This window comes from Homo sapiens, chromosome 9 (genome assembly GCF_000001405.40).
Source record: "Homo sapiens chromosome 9, GRCh38.p14 Primary Assembly".
Classification (NCBI taxonomy): Eukaryota; Metazoa; Chordata; class Mammalia; order Primates; family Hominidae; genus Homo; species Homo sapiens.
Window position 1 is genome coordinate 112,265,880 of NC_000009.12, and position 20,010 is coordinate 112,285,889.

At 37.8% G+C, this 20,010-nt stretch overlaps 1 protein-coding gene and 2 pseudogenes across 18 annotated transcripts in view; all 3 read right to left on the bottom strand.

Annotated features, from left to right (window-relative positions):
• PTBP3 (polypyrimidine tract binding protein 3) overlaps positions 1 to 20,010 on the bottom strand; it is a 162,168-nt gene that overhangs the window by 48,165 nt on the left and 93,993 nt on the right. For 14 of the 18 annotated variants that reach the window (XM_047424272.1, XM_047424271.1, NM_001163790.2 and 11 more), the window contains 2 exons: positions 9,965 to 10,134; positions 2,170 to 2,316 (listed from right to left, as the gene is read on the bottom strand). In XM_047424272.1, the coding sequence (XP_047280228.1) occupies positions 2,170 to 2,316; positions 9,965 to 10,134 (317 nt within the window). The remainder of the gene's footprint in view (positions 1 to 2,169; positions 2,317 to 9,964; positions 10,135 to 20,010) is intronic. The other 4 variants (XM_047424274.1, XM_047424273.1, NM_001244896.2 and 1 more) reach the window with 1 other exon arrangement.
• On the bottom strand, positions 6,717 to 6,958 carry RN7SL430P (RNA, 7SL, cytoplasmic 430, pseudogene; annotated as a pseudogene).
• HSPE1P28 (heat shock protein family E (Hsp10) member 1 pseudogene 28) lies at positions 15,109 to 15,529 on the bottom strand (annotated as a pseudogene).

Sequence of the window (20,010 nt, forward strand, 5' to 3'; positions counted from 1 at the left end):
CCTACATCCAAAAAATTCCTAATAGAAATAAGAACAACTACAACACAGAAGTATTAGAAGAAAACATATGTAGATTCTTTTTTTAATCTTGGTGTACTAGATCTTTCTGAGCATGGTACTGAAGTCAGAAAAGATTGTATTATGACATCCTAAGAGCTTTGACCATGTATTTAAAAATTCATAGAGACTGAAGGTAGAATGGTAGTTGCCAGAGGTGGGAGGGAGGAAGGAATAGGGAGTTACTGTATAATGGATAGAGTGTTTCAGTTTGAGGTGATGGGAAATGGCATCTAGAGACTAAGTGTGGTGGTGACTATACAACAATGTGAGTGTACTTAATGCCATTAAACTGTACATTTAAAAATGGCTGAAATGGTAAATTTTATGTCATGTATATTTTACTACAATAAAAAATGGGGAAAATGGCACTAACAGAAATCAGTATAAGTATTTTACAAATTATCAAATAAAAGTAAAACATAAGATATTATTACTCATTTGCTCATCCATTATATTGGTGGCACTCTAAGCACATAATCTCTACAGAAAGCAATCATGCAACATATACCAAAATTTAAAATATGTACATGCTGTGTCCCAGCAATTTCATACATATACATTGGAATACACATTGTCTTCCACGGCAATATACATTGTATTGGATTGGAATATGCTGCATTGGAATATACACTGGAAACAACTTCAGTGTATATCAAAAAGAAATTGGACGAATTATAATTCTCCTATAAAAGGGAGTATTATAGTCATTTAAAGCTGATGAGGTAATGCTATATTTGTTGTAATAAACCCATGTCCATAACATTACACAAAAAAAGATTTCAAAACATTTTGTGTAAAATTAGATATATAGACATCTGAATACACACCGAATATTACCACTAGTTATTAGTTATCTCTGGGTAACTGGATTGGTTTTGGTTCTTTTCTCTTTTACTTTTCTTGATTGAATGGTGTACCAAAAGCATGTATCCTATGTACAACTTGTAATGACAATTTTTCATTTTAAAAAGTCTATTCTGTTCATCTAATATTGTATTTATTGTAAGCTTATATAGTTTATTACATGCCATTAATATTGCCTAAAATAAGTTAAGGATTATATGCAGTAAATGTCGCTGTTTCAAACAATGTGGAAAACAAATCTCACCAGCTAACATTATACTGCCTTTCAACACAAAATCAGAGAGCTGGAGGAGTTCTTTGCCTAGAGCAAGAATACAGAGGCCAAACATGCCCTTAAAATCATAATTTTAAAAAAACCCACTTTCTTTTTTTTTTTTTTTTTGAGACAGAGTCTCGCTCTCACCCAGGCTGGAGTGCAGTGGCACGGTCTCGGCTCACCGCAAGCTCCGCCTCCCAGGCTCACGCCATTCCCCTGTCTCAGCCTCCTGAGTAGCTGGGACTACAGATGACCGCCACCACGCCCGGCTAATTTTTTTTGTATTTTTAGTACAGACGGGGTTTCACTGTGTTAGCCAGGATGGTCTCGATCTCCTGACCTCACAATCCACCCGCCTCGGCCTCCCAAACCGCGCCCGGCCAAAAACCACCTTCTTAAAATGTATTTACTTTGTGTATAAAGATTTTCTGTCCTTAAATAACTTCAAATTATTATACTATTTTTAACCACTTAAAAATCAACATGGGAAGACACAAAAGACTCAACGTGTGCTACATCAAAATAACAGAAAAATGGGTAAGAAATATTGCTATGCTACATTTCACATTCATCTTGAGGAGTCAAAAATCATTTAATAAACAATTCTAAAAATTTTTTATTAAGGTGTTAAATTCCATTACTTAATTCACTCAATTTCTCAATGCTTTTGTTAGAGTCTGTAAAAAGATGATTGAAATGAATGATTAAGTTCCTTTCAGATCTGAGATTTTAAGATGTACATAACAATAAATATTTTTTCTCCTTTTTTACTGTGAAAACAGTTTCAAGAGAAAAAATTAACTTCTATTTCTAAATGGCACTGCTTTCTTATTCTTAAGAATTGGGGGGAAGAATTTACATATACAATTATGACTAGTAAAGTATCCTAAAATGAATAAAAGCACATAATTTTTCTTCATCTGTAAAGTATGTAAGTTATCATACCATGTGTTCCCATACCTATTTTTAAAAACATCTTTAATACTTACAGCTTGATTAGGTAGATTGTCAGTCTTAAGTTCTCTGTGATTGGAATACTGAATATAAACAGGCTGGCTTCGAAGGTGAGGAGTAATAGGAGTGTAATAATTCACCATAGTAACGGCAGCTTCCTCAGAAGCCATTTCTAAGAAAGCCTGCAATAAACACAAGAAGGTAAAGTTAAAGCTCATCTTTTTGAAAGACAGTTAAGATATATTTTGCCATTCTAGCTTGCTCTAAACCCATGCACTCTCAAGTAAAATGACATTTCCCCCAAGGGGAGGGAAAAACAAAAAAACACCTTTGCTTCAAAATATCATGGACGTTAATTAAAAACATCTAAAAAGTTGGGTTCACTGAAGAACTTGAGAAGCCAGGCGTGGTGGTTCACAACTGTAATTCCAGCTACTTTGGGAAGACAAGGTGGGAGGACTGCTTGAGCCCAGGAGTTCAACAGCAGCCTGTGCAACACAGCGAGAACCCATCTCTACAAAAAATTTTAAAAATTAGCGGGGCATGGTGGCACATGGCTGTGGTCCCAGCTACTTGGGGTGGGGGGGTGAGGGAGGGGCTGAGTAGGAGGACTGCTCAAGCCTGGGAGGTTGAGGGTGCAGTGATCCATGTTTGCATGACTGCACTGCAGCATGGGTAACAGGAGTAAGACACCGTCTCAAAAAAAAAAAAAAAAAAAAAAAGGATTTAACTGCCAGTTGATTAAGGGATTTTATGCAGTTTTCGGTTTTCCTTTTATTTCTGTTTCTTTTAAAATCCAGAAATAATTAAAAAGATGAAAATAAATGTGTACATCACCATTGTAAACGGATGCTTTCAGCGGCTGTGATTTAAGTTTATCATTAAAAACAGTGAGGCTAAGGCTGGGCACAGTGGCTCAGGCCTGTAATCCCAACACTTTGGGAGGCTGAGGCAGGTGGATCACCCGAGGTCAGGAGTTCAAGGCCAGCCTGGCCAACACAGTGAAACCCTGTCTCTACTAAAACTATAAAAATTAGCCAGGAATGATTGTCGGGTGCCTGTAATCCCAGCTACTCAGGAGGCTAAGGCAGGAGAATCACTTGAACCCAGGAGGCGGAGGTTGCAGTGAGCCGAGATCGCGCCATTGCACTCCAGCCTGGGTGACTGAGCGAAACTCTGTCTCAAAAAAAAAAAAAAAAAAAAAATTGATGCTAAAAGGCTACAATACATAAACAGATACAAAATTTAATGGGGGCAATTAGGGGGTAAAAAGGCTAAAAACCGTCTTTAGGGGAGGAGAAAGAAAAAAACAGAGGAAAAAACATTGAGAAACACTAATAATACCCAGAGTCTTAAACAGAGATGGGGCAAAATGGTTTATTCTCCTTTTACCCTTTTTAAAAACAGCCATTTATGAATAAAATTAATAGAGCATTCACTTTTCTTCAGTAAGAGTTTTATTATCTCATACTTTACCAACATATGTGATAGCAAGAAATGAGAACTAGCATGATATGGTAGAAAGGGAACTTGATTAAAATCTATGCCTGGCTATGACACCTTACTCATTAACACCTCTGAGCCTTAGTTTCCTCATCTAAAACATGAAGCACTGCCTAACAGGATCTTTAAGTCTCTTTGTAGCTCTAACATGAGATGATTTTTATTTGAGATCATTTTTAATTCCTGTTAATTGGACTGTATGGGATTTTTCAGAATAAAACTATTAAACTCAGCCTCTGAAAAGCATCCTTGTAAAATGGTGATCAATACTCTGGTTTTTCTTCAGATGGTATAAATCTTTCGCCTTCTACTCACATGATGGTGCACACTTTAGATTTGCCTTTTTAAGTGTTTCTAGGAAGAAACAAGAAAAAAACCAAGAACCACATAAAACCAGTTAATTAAGTGGCAATTTTCCAATTCCAAATCTTCTTTTTTTTTTTTTTGAGACACAGTCTCACTCTGTCACCCAGGCTGGAGTGCAGTGGCGTCATCTCGGCTCACTATACCCTCCGTCTCCTGGGTTCAAATGATTCTCCTGCTTCAGCCTCACAAGTGGCTGGGATTACAAGCGCATGATACCACGATCCCGGCTAATTTTTGGGTTTATAGTAGAGACAGGGAGTCGCCATGAAGGCTGGTCTTGAACTCCTGACCTCAAGCGATCCACCCCAGTCGGCCTCCCAGAATGCTGGGATTACAGGCGTCACCAAATCCTTCTCCGTACTCAATGTTTCAAATGCTTCCAATTAACACCCATGTTACATTTTGAAAAAAGGTTACACATAAATATGTAAAGGTATTTCCTGTATTTTACATGTTTATATACATACACACACGTGCACACACATATCAACATGGTATCTACATCTTCATGTCACATTTACTTGTATGTATGGAATCACACTAAACTGGCCAGAAAAGAGTGCTATTTGGGGAATATCAAGTTTTACTTAAAATAATCTACGCTTTTGAATTTTTTTAATAAACATACGAAGCATTTTTAATTTTTTAAAGGTTTCCCAAGATAAGAATCATAATTAAGCATTCCTTAAAAAGGCATCTGAAATTCCAGTCTAAAATAATGGGAAACCATGCGTGTAGCATTGACAGACAGCATTATCTTAAGTTACTAAGAATTCTCCCCATTCCACACCCTCTCTCTATCCTTCAACCCTCAAAAAACATTGTGAAGAAAATTTTTCAGTGATCTCCTTACCATATTACCCACCACTACCACCAACTGCCCCCAACTCAGACTCACATGGCTTTAGTGTTCCCAGGGCTTAGGTTCCTTTTTTTGTATTTGTTTGTTTTTTGAGTAGGAGTCTTGCTCTGTAGCCCAGGCTGGAGAGCAGTAGCGTGATCTTGGCTCACTGCAACCTCTGCCTCCTGGGTTCAAGCAATCCGCGGCTCACTGCAACCTCAGCCTCCCGAGTAGCTGGGATTACAGGTGCACGCCACCACACCCGGCTTATTTTTGTATTTTTAGTAGAGAAGGGGCTTCACCATGTTGGCCAGGCTGGTCTTGAACTCCTGACCTCAAGTGATCTGCCCACCTCAGCCTCCAAAAGTGCTGGGATTACAGGCAAGAGCCACCATGCTCAGCTTTAGGTTCCTTTTTAAGTACTGAGGCATTCATTAAAACATAGACATGCACATATATGTCATATTTAATTCTGAGGCACAGTCTGAGTATCCCTTATCCAAAATGCTTAGGAACAGAAGTGTTTTAGATTTCAGATTTTGAAATATTTAATATTTGCCTTAGATACTTACTAGCTGAGCATCCCTAATTCAAAAATCTGGAATCCAAAATGCTCCAGTGAGCATTTCCTTTGACTGTTATGGTGCTCAAAAAGTTTCAGATTTAGAGCACCTCATTTTCAGATTAGGGATATTCAACCTTTATCATAAAATAAAGACAGGCGTAGTGGCTCACGCCTATGATCCCAATACTTTGGGAGGCTGCAACGGGCAGATCACTTGAGGTTAGGAGTTTGAGACCAGCCTAGCCAATGTGGTGTAACCCCTTCTCTACTAAAATCACACACAAAAAATTAGCCAGGTGTGGTGGCAGGTGCCTGTAATCCTAGGTTCTCAAGAGGCTGAGGCAGCAGTATCACTTGAACCTGGGAGGCAGAAGTTGCAGTGAGGTCAAGATCACACCAGTGAACTCCAGTGTACTCCAGCCTGGGCAACAGAGCAAGACTCCGCTTCAAGAAAGAAAAAAAAGAAAAAGAAAAAGAAAATAGTTTATAATCTTCAAATACAGAATATTTTTTAAAAATAAGGGACAAAGGATCAATTATTCAAATTATGGAAATCTGAGAACTTCCTACCCTGAGTCAATATTGATTTAAGTCATTCAAGTGATTTGATATCTGTAGTCACTGTACTAATAGTAGATACCTGAAGAATGACTCAGGAAAAACTGAGCTGGCAAAAGCCCCTTGACATTTATATTTTATAGTATACATAGTTTCCTCTTAACAGGAATAAGATACTTACAAAGCTTTAAGGTGGTAGATTTTGTCCCCCATCTCACTCTTTTTATTTTTTATTTTTTTTTTGAGACAGAGTCTCACTACACTGGACCGCAGTGGCGTGATCTCAGCTCACTGCAACGTCCACTTCCTGGGCTCAAGCAATCCTCCCATCTCAGCCTCCCAAGTGGCTGGGACTACAGGTGGGTGCCGCCACACTTGGCTAATTTTTTACAATTTTTGTAGCAATGAGGTCTCACTATACTGCCCAGGCTGGGTCTTGAACTCCTGAGCTCAAGTAATCCTCCTGCCTCAGCCTCCCAAAGTGGTGGGATTACAGGCATGAACCACTGTGCCCAGCCTTTGTCGCCCTATTTTAATGATTAGTTATAAACTATAGACATTAACCGTTCTGAGTCCTCAAAATACTGGTAAGAACATCTCAAATTTAAAACGCAGGAACCACTCCTGATCCAAATCAACACAAATTTCTAGTTAGACAATTCAATTCTTTTTTTACTACAGAAGAACATATTTATTTATTCATCCATCCATCCATCTATCCATCCATCCATTTTTTTAACAGATAGGGGTCTTGATATGTTGCCTGGGCTGAAATGCAGTGCCTATTCACAGGCACGATCCCACTACTGATCAGCACAGGAGTTCTGACCTGCTCTGGTTCTGGTCTGGGCCGGTTCACCCCTCCTTATGCAGCCTGGACCATACTGATGCCAAACTTAGTGTGGATACCAGATCGGCTTAGTACACTACAGCCCAGAATGCCCAGACTCAAGCAATCCTTGAGGCAAGTGCCACCAAGACCAGGCACAAGAGCATTTAATTAGCAAGCATATATCAACCATTTCAACTTATGTATAAAACATTTACAATTTATAAAATATGCATTTGTTACCAACAAAATTTACTGAACACAGGAAATGGCAAGTATCTCTAAATCAAACTATTTGTTTTCAGTTACCTTATTTGTCAAATGTTTCCACATAAAGTCTAGAAAAGCCATATTAACTGGACAGATGTTAAACATGATGTATAACTGTACCAACCAAATGTAACAAGTGAACCAATGAAATGCTCCAAATGAACTACCAATGCTCTATGAAACAGTGATGTTAGCCATGTGACAGTGGATGAAACATCACAAATCAACCCACAATAAACAAATAAAACTCCCCAAATAAATAAAAATTGCACGATCTTAAAAGAGCAAAACTGACTTCAAGTCATTTATACTATTTAAAGGTAAAAATGTCCGTGATGTACTTTGAAGCCATTATCCACTTGTGTCAGTAATATATTTTTTCTAATTTTTCTAAGACAACAGGATAAAAATGATCAAGGTAGGAAAAACAGCTATGGCAACTAGCTTGTTTCTAACTGTTTTTAAATCATCTTTCAACAGACAATTTGTAAACAATAATATTCACTGTATGGGCATATTTCTGCAAACTCCTTTCTAAATGTTAAGAACATACTCAATTTCTAACATCAGTCACATAAAGGAAAAGCTAAACAATATATCTGGAATATGATTCTTGTCACAGGATTTCCTTTAAGTATACAGAACCGAAAATTTCATGTGCTAAAATAATTGCTTCCACTTAGAGTCCAGTAATTATTTACATTTTATTTAAGTATCTAGTCAAAAAGTCCAATTTTCATAGTACAGAGTGGAGAGACAGCCAAAAGTCACTACCCAGAGGAAGGCTGGGAAAAAGAATCCCCATTTGGCCCCTGACACTCCATCCTCCAAATGCCCTGAGAAAAGTTATCACTCAACAAGTAGATCTAGTGACTCAAATCAGAATCTCCTGCTTAAGTGCATTTACTAAAAAGATATTTTCTAAACAGGATTTGTGATCAAAACACAAGCAATTAACATAACACTTACAGTTAGCTTACCGATAAAAATAAACCCAGAATCAGTAGCAGAGACAAAGAAAATTATGATGTTGCCTGCTCAGCCTTTCACAGGCAATTAGCCATTAGACATGGCCATGTGGTCTCTGTTCAAATCATGCAAACCATACTATTCTCAGTAGTAGCAATTGTGTTAAAATAACGATCTAACTGGCAGGGATGCACGGTCTCCAAAGGATTTAAGACAAATGTGGAAATACAACAAGGGCCAAATATTAAGGCATGTTACTTAACTTCTCCAGATCTTAGTAACCTCATGTGAATTTAAGAGGATATTAAATAAGTGATTTACTAAATATAGGGAACTCAGACATCATCATCCAACCTCTTTCATGCCCAATGCTTACTAATCTATTTATTTATAAATGTATTTACCATGTGTTTCTTAAACCTATTATTTATCAAAAGCAGATGAAACACAGTAATACATCACAATGTACTACAAAATACCTAGGGCCTAGATTTGTTGTCCTCTTCTTTACAGTAATAAACAGTATAAAAGATTTTTAGGACAGCCAAAAACTTGCAAAGAACTAAAGAATTCATTCCAGTGGGGTCTGAGTTGGAACAAGAGGACATACAATTATTAAAATCAACATGACAAGTATTATATTTTTTGTCATGGTCACCACAGAAACAAGTTTCCTTATTCATCTTAAGAATAACCTGTTACCTTCTCAAATGAAGACTCTTTACAGTCTCTTCTGAATTATGAAAGAAGCCACATATTAATTCTATACCTAAAATAAACTGTTAGACTTTTTGAGAGGACATTATTTTGGACTAGCCTCCTGCACTACACCCCAGCAGACCAGTTCAAATTAAAATGGAGTCACTCATGCAAAGTAAAGCAGGTAAATCCCCAAACAAACCAGTTTCTCCTGAAAACAGGAGATTCACAGCAACCAATCAGAAAGAGCGTGGCCTATCTGAATCAGCACAATAAGTCCCTACTGCTTTGACACTTACTAGAAAAGTAAAATGCAATAACCCAATGTTAACAAATTCACTTTTTGAACAATTGTCACTTCCTTGTTCCCACCTTATAAAAACCAACTGTTCTGTCTTGCCCGGTGGAATATTCATTCTATTTTAAAGAATGAAGTGTTGCTCGGTTCTAGAATCACAAATAGAAGCCAATCAAATCATGTTTAAATGTGTTGTGATTTTGTCTTTTGACAATACTATACTTTTTATTTTTTTTTTTGGTGAGATGAGATTTACTCTTGTTGCATAGGCTGGAGTGCAATGGCACCATCTCGGCTCACTGCATCCTCCACCTCCCAGGTTCAAGCGATTCTCCTGCCTCAGCCTCCCAAGTAGCTGGGATTACAGGCATGTGACACCTCACCCGGCTAATTTTGTATTTTTAGTAGAGACGGGGTTTCACCATGTTGCCCAGGCTGATCTCGAACTCCTGACCTCAGGTGATCCGCCCACCTCGGCCTCCCAAAGTGCTGGGATTACAGGCGTGAGCCACTGCACCCGGCCGACAATACTATACATTTTTATCTAGATTTTTGAAAACTTAACTGTTCTTTAATTTGCCAAATGAGGTATAATTTATATCCTATCAGTGTTTTCTGCTAATCACAGGACATTTGATAAACCACTGTGTAATACAAAATATAAATAAAATTAAAAACAAATTTAAAAAAATATAAAATTTGTGTCTTAAGAAGAAAAAACATAAGTCAATGGATAAGAGAAATCCTGTTTCCTGTGTTACTACTGTTTGTTGCTTCCTGTTACACCCCCCCAAAAAAATCTACTTTTAAAACTAACTTATGTTCATAGTATGAAATTTTAAAAATACAGAAAAGCTCAAGAAAATAAAAATTATCAGTAATACTAACATCTGGAGATAATCACTCTTTGTCAATCTTTAAATATTACATACCTGGCTTTTTCCTTTCAACATCAAAAGATTAGTTACTTTGCCAAATGGTAGACCTAATGATATGATCTCTGCTTCGGTGACATCACATGGAATTTTTCGAAGATGGAGAACACGGGAAGGCGAACAGGGAGGTCTATCTCGTTTAAATTTCTTGCTGTCATTCCCATTAGCTAAAAAACATAAGATTCTTTTTTAAATTACTGCAACTAATTTGGGTTGACATACTACATTAATCATATTGTCACATTTAATCCTAAATGAGTTTTGGGTTTTGAACTTCAGGGAAACGTGGGGCTGATGGGGGTAGGTGGAAAAGGAGAGTAGAAAACAAAACCAACTACCTTTTAATAAACAGGTGCTTTTGGTTTTTCACTGTGGGTATTAAATTTTTTAAAACTGAAGTCTGATTTTTAACTTCAAGGAAAAGTATAAGGGTAAATGAATTACATTATTTCAAATACCTCTAAATACTCAACTTTTTCTTATGACTAGAGAACACTATTTATGATGCCTTTAATGTATTTTAAGGACATTTTTCTAATTTAGTCTATTGCTAAATAAATAAAATTTCAGGAAAGACTATGATAAAAATCTGGTATTTATCACATCCTAAGGAGATATGGATTTGAATTGTATATTTATTAAAATAAAGTTTATTTCTTGGGTGCTAATAGTCTTTATTTTTTAGAAGCTAAACTGTGGTTTCCTATGATAATCTTATTCCTTATTATATAACAATAATTCTTAACATTAAGTACCACCTTGCTGAAAATGGAAATTTCCAACCCCACCCAGACCTACTGAAGCAGAAGCTCCAGGAGTGGAACCCAACGACCTGCTTTAACAAGCCCTCCAGGAGATTCTATTTACCCTGAAGTTGGAGAATTACTGCTGTAAAGTAAAAAAATTCATTATCTAAGCTAAATTTATTTAAATCCTATTGTTTCAATACTGAGAATAACTAGAATTGACAAGCCTGTAAGGAACACTTAAGTTTATGCAAGTAAGATTCAGAAAAGTTTTTCTTCCAGAAATAGAACCAAAAGACTAAATACAAATTACTTAAAAGCTAAAAGTTTCATTCAATGTTGTTTGATCACTAAATACCCTATTTGCCACTACTCGGAGAAAAACATAATCTTTCCAAATGCCTAAAAATATCATTTCTCTAAACACTAATGAAACTTTACAATCAAATGTCTGTAACCCTAAACAAATTTCATGAGGACCAAATAAAAACTAATATAGCTATATTTCGTATCCATCCATATCTGTGGCACAGAACTCAACTTGTTTACAACTAGATAGGTTGACTTAATACCCAAACTAGCACTTGCTCCCAAATTCTCTATGTTCATGAATGCAAGCAGCATCCTCCCCAGACCTAAATGACTAACAATACCTAGAGGCCCATACAGGTCTGCGTACCTTTATATAGCAAATGCCTATGTCAGATTATGGAAAATAATTGGCACACAAATGTTTATCGGATTAATTAATCTGGAAGGCAAGAGATTCCATCTCCTCCTCTCCCTTATCAATCACCAAGAAATACTAATTTTCCCTCCAAAATGACTACTGATTATATTCTTTCATTTCCACTCTCAAAGTCACCAACCTCACCCTGATCTTGCCCCCACTTCAGCTCTCCCTTACTCTAATTTCACTCTCCCTGCTTCCCATATTCTGGGGATCCAGTATCATATCAACGTTAACTAAAATAGTGTATCAGGCCCGGCACAGTGATTCACGCCTGTAATCCCAGCACTTTGGGAGGCTGAGGTGGGCTGATCACCTGCAGTCAGGAGTTCGAGACCAGCCTGGGCAACAGGGCAAAACCCCATCTCTACCAAAAAAAACCAAACAAACAAACAAACAAAAAAATTAGCAGGATGTGCTGGCGTATGCCTGTAATCCAGCTACTTGGGAGGCTGAGGCAAGAGAGTCACTTGAACCCAGGAGGAGGAGACTGCAGTGAGCCGAGATTGCACCACTTGCACTCCCTGTCTCAAATTTTGAGACTCTGTCTCAAAATAACGTAACATAACATAACATAACATAACATAACATAACATAACATAACATAACATAACATAACATAATATAACATAACATAACATAACATAACATAACATAATGTATATCATGTCATTATTCTGCTCCAAAAACCTAAACAGGCACCAAATACCTAAACAGGCACCAAATACCTAAAATGTCATTTCACTTCTAACTTTCAAACTGTTTTCACTTACACTGCCTCATTTGAGTCTCACAAATACCCAAACTAAAGTGTAAAGGTAATTTCTTTTTTTAAACCACAAAAATTTCAAAGTGTCTTACTACTCCTAGAAAAAGGTAAGTGACTTGACACTGACAATGTAAATTTACAAAGGCTTACATGGATTGAGAATAACAAATGATAACACTGTCACTAGAGTAAAACAACAAACATCAGAGTCCTGGACGGGGGCGAGAGTTGAACAGGGAATGTCTTTTTGGCACCCTCCCTGCAGGCATAGAGAGCTAAACAATACCACCACCAACGTGGCCTTGCTCAACCAGCATAAGGAGTTACAGGACTGGAGAAAAGGACTGGAGAAACTTTCTAAAGGCATGAAGCTCCTATCAGTTTACCCAGAATATTCCAACAAGAATGAAAGAACACTAAGAAAGCTGTTTCTTTAACAGAGGTATTCTATGTTTGAGAAAATGCGAATACCGAACAAGTTACCCAAGCTCCCATTCGTGCTGCACTATCAAATAAAGACCTAAGATGACAAACTTTTACCAAGAAATGTGCAATTATAAATCACCATTTTAGGGTGTTAATTGTTCCGTATTATAAAATACCTGGGCTATGTTAAGAGCGCAGAGCTATGAAATCAGATATCCTGTTCTGAGCAAGTTATTTAACGTTACTAAGCCTCAGATTCTACTCCTGTAAAACGGGTATAACAAGAATATTTTGAAATTTTAATTTGTTCTTTTCAATATATTTTAAATGCTCAGCACAACATCTAGTACACTGTAATCAATAATACGTCTAGCATTTCTTAAGAACAACTGTTTTGCTTGGAAATTATGTTCTATTTTTTCCCAATCAAAATGGTAATTGTAAATGACAGTGATTTTTTGCACTTGATGTCCTTATTTGCCATAATTAAGAATTTGCCCCAAATTAACTGAACATATTATTACTATATGAAATCTCAAAATCTAAGAACGACTCATTTAGGTGACTGGGAAAGGGTTATATGTAAAGATTTGATAAATAATCTGAAGATGAAGAATGTATACCATTACAAGCAATTGTATGGCCATGATTTAAAAGCCAATAGGAAACAAGGAAATTCAAATGTATTGGACACATAAATTTAAATAATTATTTTCTGTACAAAAGGACAGTTTTCAAAAATCTTAATACAAAAATAAGCATTCAAAATACTTTGCTTGTATAAATCGTGTTGTATTTTACTAAACTATACATTAAAAACTACAAAATGCCCACTACATATCAGTCACGCTTCCAAAGAGCTTTGTGGAAGAGGGTTTTTAAAAATTCATAATATTCCCACCTCAAAACTAGAAGAATCTGTCAGGAAAACTACTTGCGAAACATGGATTCATTTTTTAAAAATCAACTTTATGAGGGTTTACTTTAGATAGAATAAGACATCCACCCACATTTTAAATGCAGGGTTTGATGAGTTTTGACAAATACACTCCATATAACCACCACAAAAATCAAGACATCCCAAAAAGTTCCCTAGTATCCCTTTGCAGTTAGTCCTCCCTACCAAACCCCCAACCCCCACCCCAGGCAATCTGAACCCTACAGATTACTACAGCTTTATCACCATTCTTGAAATGAGGTACCTATTTGGGGAGAATTCACATCTTAACATTTTTTTGAGTCATCTAAACCATAAACATCATGACATTTCTGCATTTATTTAGATCTTTTTAAATTTCTCTCAGTAAAGTTCTGTAGTTTTCAGTGTAATGGTCTCACACATATTTTGACACCTTTATCCCTAAGTACTTCATAATTTTTAATGGATCAGTAACACTTTTAAATTTTTTGTCATAATTAATAATTGATAATATACAGAAATACAACTGACTTTGATATCTTGATCTTATATCCTACACCCTTGCTAAATTCTTTAGTATTTCTACATACACAGTTTTCTTACTCTCAAATTTATATGCCATTTATTTATTTATTTATTTATAGATGGAGTCTTGCTCTGTCACCCAGGCTGGAGTGCAGTGATGCAATCGGCTCACTGCAACCCCCGCCTCCCAGGATCAAGAAATTCTCCTGCCTCAGCCTCCCTAGCTGGGATTATAGGTGCACACCACCACGCCCAGCTAATTTTTGTATTTTTAGTAGACACGTGGTTTCACCAAGTTGGCCAGGCTGGTCTCGAACTCCTGACCTCAGGTAATGCGCCCACCTTGGCCTTCCTAAGTGCTGGGATTACAGGCATGAGCCACCGTGCCTGGGCTGCTGTTTATTTATTATTTTTTTTTTACAGCTTTACTGAACTAGCCAGGATTTTCTGTCTGCAAAATGTTGAATAGAATCAATAAGACTAGGCATCCTTGCCTCGTTCTTGATATTAGGGGAAAAGCATTATCTTACACTATTGAATATAATAATGCTAAGCTGTAGTTTCATACCTTTATCAGGTTGAAAATGTTCCCTTCTATTCCCAGTTGGCTAACAATTTGGTTTATCACAAAAGGAGTTGAATTCTTTCAAATGCCTTCTCCAGATCTCTTAAGGTGAGCAGATTTTACCTTGTATTCTGTCACACTGATTTTCAAATGTAAGCACTTTGTAGAAACCCTACTTGGTCATGACACATGTACCATGATTTTTTTCCTCACTCTTCATACGTGTGTGTCTGTGTGTGTATGTGTGTGTGTGTGTGTGCATATATATATATATAGTGATTTTTTTTTAGTTTAGAGATCACTAGTTTGTTATAAGAGAGATACAACATTTACATAATGAAATATTTCAGAACTTCATTATTTCAGAAATAATGAAAGAATTATTTCCATGATGAAAGATTTCAGTGGGATGGGCAGCTTCATATTGATGCCATTTCAATGACGATTTATTTCAGTCTATATACTTTCCAAGAATGTCTAAATAAGAAAAAATCCTTGTTGCTGGGCACAGTGGCAAGTACCTGTAGTCTCAGCTACTCAGGAGACTGAGATGGGAAGATCACTTGAGGAAGAGTTTGAGACCAGCCTGGGCAACATAGCAAGACCCCGTTCTCTAATGAAAATTATTAATGCATAATCTCTATCATTTAGAATTACTTTAGTCCTCCACATTTTGTGAGTACAACTTTATCTCCAACTTTCATGCTAACTGGCTGAATCTCTCCATTCTTTCCTTCAGAGCCCAATCCAACAGCTACCAACTATTGCTTACAATACTTTTCCTTGAGAATTTTCTGTAAGCATAATGCCTATGGTTTTCGTTCTACTCTTTTCAACCAATACTCAAACAGAAGAAATTTACTAAATGCTTGTCCTGCCATGACTTCCACCGCTGCAGCTTGTACTCTGCTCTCACACTGCTACCACAAGCAAAAACCCCTGATTTTAATTTAATATCTTGCTAAACATTTTTATGTCAATATTCATGAAGGATATTAATCTGTAGTTTTCTTTTCCTGCAGCAGCATAATACTGGCCTCATAAGAAAAAGTGGAAAGTGTTCCCACCTCCTTTATATTCTGTACAGTCTGTGTAGGATTGGTATTATTTATTCCTTATATGTCTGATAGACTTCATCAATAAAGCCATATGGGACTGTAGTTTTCAATAACTAATTTGATTTTTTAAACAGCTATATGACTATCTGAGTTTTCTATTGCTTTTGTATCAGTTTGGGAATTTGTGTCTTTCAAAGAATTTGTGCACTTCATCTGAAGTGTCAAATTTATTAGCTTAAAATTTCATAATATTCACTGAATCTACTTAGTCAGTTAAGGCTACCACACAAAATACTACAGATTGGGTGGCTTAAACAAGAAAAATTTATGGAGGTTAAAAGCCCAAGATCAAGCATTTCTGGTGAGGGGTCTTCCTGTCTTACAAACAGCTGCCTATTTGCTGGCTGACTTTTCAGTGTCCTCACACAGCAAGGAGAGAGGACATGCAAGCAAGCTCTCTAGTGTCTCTTAAGTAGTCTAATCCAATCCCCTCATGAGGGCACCACCCACCTTCATCATGTAATCTAAACATTATTTCCCAAAGGTCCCAGCTCTAAATACCATCACATAGCGAGTTAGGGCTTCAACATACCAATTCTGGGAGGATACAAACATTAAGTCAATAATAATACCCTTTTAATGACTGTAGAATCATTCTTGATACTGGCAATTTGTGTCTTTCCTTTTTTTTGAGTCTACTTAGAGGTATTATTACTAATTTTATTTACCACATAAACAACTACTGGTTTCATTAATTTTTCTCTAGTTTTTTCTGTCACTGACTTTTGCTTTCATCTTTAATATTTCCTCTTTTCTATCTACTTGTAGGGTTTAACATGTTCTTTTTATTCTAGTTATAACTGGAAGCCTAGATGATTCACTTTAGACATTTTTTCTTTTCTAATATAAACATTTAAAACTACATATTTCCTTCTAAGAACAACTCTAGTGGAACCCCACAAATTTCATTAAGTTACGGTTTCATTTTATTTCTGTTCAAAGTAGCTTCGAATATCCCTTGTGACAACTTCTTTGATCAATGGGTTAAGTTTATTTTTATTTTTTTTTTTACTATTTGGGAAATTTTTCCTCCAGATATTTGAAGATCTTGTTTTGATTTCTAATAGAATTCTAATGAAGTCAGATAATTTTTATGATTTTAATCACTGTTTAAAGGACTAAACTTATTTTAGGACCCGGATACAGCCTGCCTATCTTGGTGATATGGTTTGGCTGTGTCCCCACCCAAATCTCATCTAGAATTGTAATCCCATAGTCCTGATGTGTCGAGGGAGGGACCTGGTGGGAGGTGACTGGATCATGGGGGTGGTTTCCCCCATGCTGTTCTTGTGATAGTGAGGGAGTTCTCGCAAGATCTGATGGTTGTATAAGTGTTTGAGAGTTTCTCATTCACACTCACTCTAACCTGCCACCATGTGAGACTTGCCTGCTTCCCCTTCTGCCATGATTGTAAATTTCCTGAGGCCTCGCCTGCCATGTGAAACTATGAGTCAATTAAACCTCTTTTCTTTATAAATTATCCAGTCTCAGCAGCTCTTTATAGCAGTGTGAGAACAGACTAATACAGTAAATTGGTACTGGTAGAGTGGGATACTGCTATAAAGATACCTGAAAATGTGGAAGTGACTTTGGAACTGGGTAATGGGCAGAGGTTGGAACAGTTTGGAGGGCTCAGAAGACAGGAAGATGTGGGAAACTTTGGAACTTCCTAGAGACTTGTTGAATACTTTTGACCAAAATGCTGATAGTGGTATGGACAATGAAGTCCAGGCTGAGGTAGTCTCAGATAGAGATAAGGAACTCACTGGGAACTGGAACCAAGGACACTCTTGCAATGCTTTAGCAAAGAGACTGGCAGCATTTTGCCCCATGCTAGAGATCTGTGGAACTCTGAACTCAGATGATTTAGGGTATCTGGCAGAAGAAATTTCTAAATAGCAAAGTGTTCAATAGGTGATAGAGCATAAAGGTTTGGAAAATTCACAGCCTGACCATGTGGTAGAAAAGAAAAATCCATTTTCTGGGGAGAAATTCAAGCTGGCTGCAGAAATATGCATAAGTAACCAGTAGTCAAATGTTAATTGCCAAGACGATATGGAAAATGTCTCCAGGGCATGTCAGAGATCCTCACAGCATCCCCTCCCATCACAGACCTGGAGGCCTAAGAGAAAACAACGGTTTCACGGGCTGGCCTGGGCCCTGCTGCTCTGTGCAGCCTTGGAACTTGGTGCCCTGCATCCCAGCTGCTCTAGCTCCAGGAGTGGCTAAAAGGGGCCAAGGTACAGCTCACTGGTTGCTTCAGAGGGTGCAAGCCCTAAGCCTTGATAGCTTCCATGTGGTGTTGGGTCTGCAGGTGAGCAGAAGACAAGAGTTGAATTTGGGGAACCTCCACCTACATTTCAGAGGATGTATGGAAATACCTGGATGTCCAGGCAGAATTCTGCTGCAGGGGTGGAGCCCTCATAGAGAAGCTCTACTAGGGCAGTGCAGAAGGGAAATGTGGGGTTGGAGCCCGTACATATAGTCCCTGCTGAGGCACTGCACCTAGTGGAGCTGTGAGAAGAGCGCCACTGTCCTCCAGATCTCAGAATGGTAGATCCATTGACAGCTTGCACCATGCGCCTGGAAAAGCCACAGGTACTCAACACCAGCTGCTGGCATTCAACACAGCCACAGGGGCTGAACCCTGCAAAGCCACCGGGGCGGAGATGCCCAAAGCCTTGGAAGCTCACTCTTTGCAAAAGCATGCCCTAGATGTGAGATGTGGAGTCAAAGGAGATTATTTTGGAGCCTTAAGATTTAATGACTGGCTAGACATGGTGGCTCACACCTATAATCTCAGCACTTGGGGAAGCCGAGGCAGGCAGATCACTTGAGGCTGGGAGTTCGAGACCAGCCTGGCCAACATGACAAAACCCCAAGTCTGCTAATAGCACAAAAATCAGCCAAGCATGGTGATGTGCACCTGTAGTCCCAACTACTCAGGAGGCTGAGGTGGGAGAATCACTTGAACCTAGGAGGCGTAGGCTGCAGTTTGCCAAGATCGTGCCACTGCATTCCAGCCTGGGCAACAGAGCAAGAATCCGTCTCAAAAAACAAAACAGAAAACAAAAAACAAAACAACAACAACAAAAACAAGATTTAATGACTGCCCCACTGGATTTTGAACCTGCTTAGGAGCCTATGGCCCTTGCGTTTTGATCACTTTCTCCCATTTGGAATGGGAGCATTCATCCAATGCCTGTACCCCCGTTGTATCTTCGAAGTAACTAACTTGCTTTTGATTTTATAGGCTCATAGGCAGAAGGGACTTGCCTTGTCTCAGATTAGACTTTGGACTTGGGACTTTTGGGTTATGTTGGAATGAATTAAGACTTTGGGGGATTGTTGGGAGGCATGATTGGTTTTGAAATGGAAAAAGGATGTGAAATTTGGGAGGGGCCGGGGCAGAATAATATGGTTTCACTCTGTGTTTCCACCAAATCTCATCTGGAATTGTAATCATCATGATTCCCATGTGTTGAGGGGGAGACCTGGTGGGAGATGGATGGATTATGGGGGTGGTTCCCCCCATGCTCTTCTTGTGATAGGAAGCAAGTTCTCACAACATGATGGTTATGTAAGCGATTGGCAGTTCCTCCTTCACACTCACTCTCTCTCGCCTGCTGCCATGTAATAAGACTTTGCCTGCTTCCCCTTCTGCCATGATTGTAAGTTTCCTGAGGCCTCCCCAGCCACATGAACTGTGACACAATTAAACCTCTTTTCTTTATAATTATCCAGGCAGTTCTTTACAGCAGTGTGAGAAAGGACTAATACAATTGGTGACTACTTTATATAAACTTGAAAATAAAGTGTATTATTCTGGTGTTGGGAAAACTGTTCTATACTGTCAATTAGATCAAGCTGGTTAAAAATTTCTATATTAGGGATCTACCAACTTTTTCTTAAAGGGGCACAAAAATATTTCAGACGTTGTGGGTCACAGGATCTCTGTCAGAACTACTCAACTGTGCAGTTACGGCATGAAAGCAGCTATAAACAAATAATATAACTGTGTTCAAATACAATTTTATGTATAGACACAGAAATTTGAATTTCATGAAAGTTTCGTGTGCCATTTAATCTTATCCTTTAGTATTTTTCACGATTTTAAATTTTAAAAACCACTCTTAGCTCATGGGAAATTTGAAAGTGGGCAATGGGATGGATTTGGCCCACAGGTAAGAACTTGCCAACCCCTGTTCTATACCTTTACTGATTTTCTGTCTACTATACCATCAA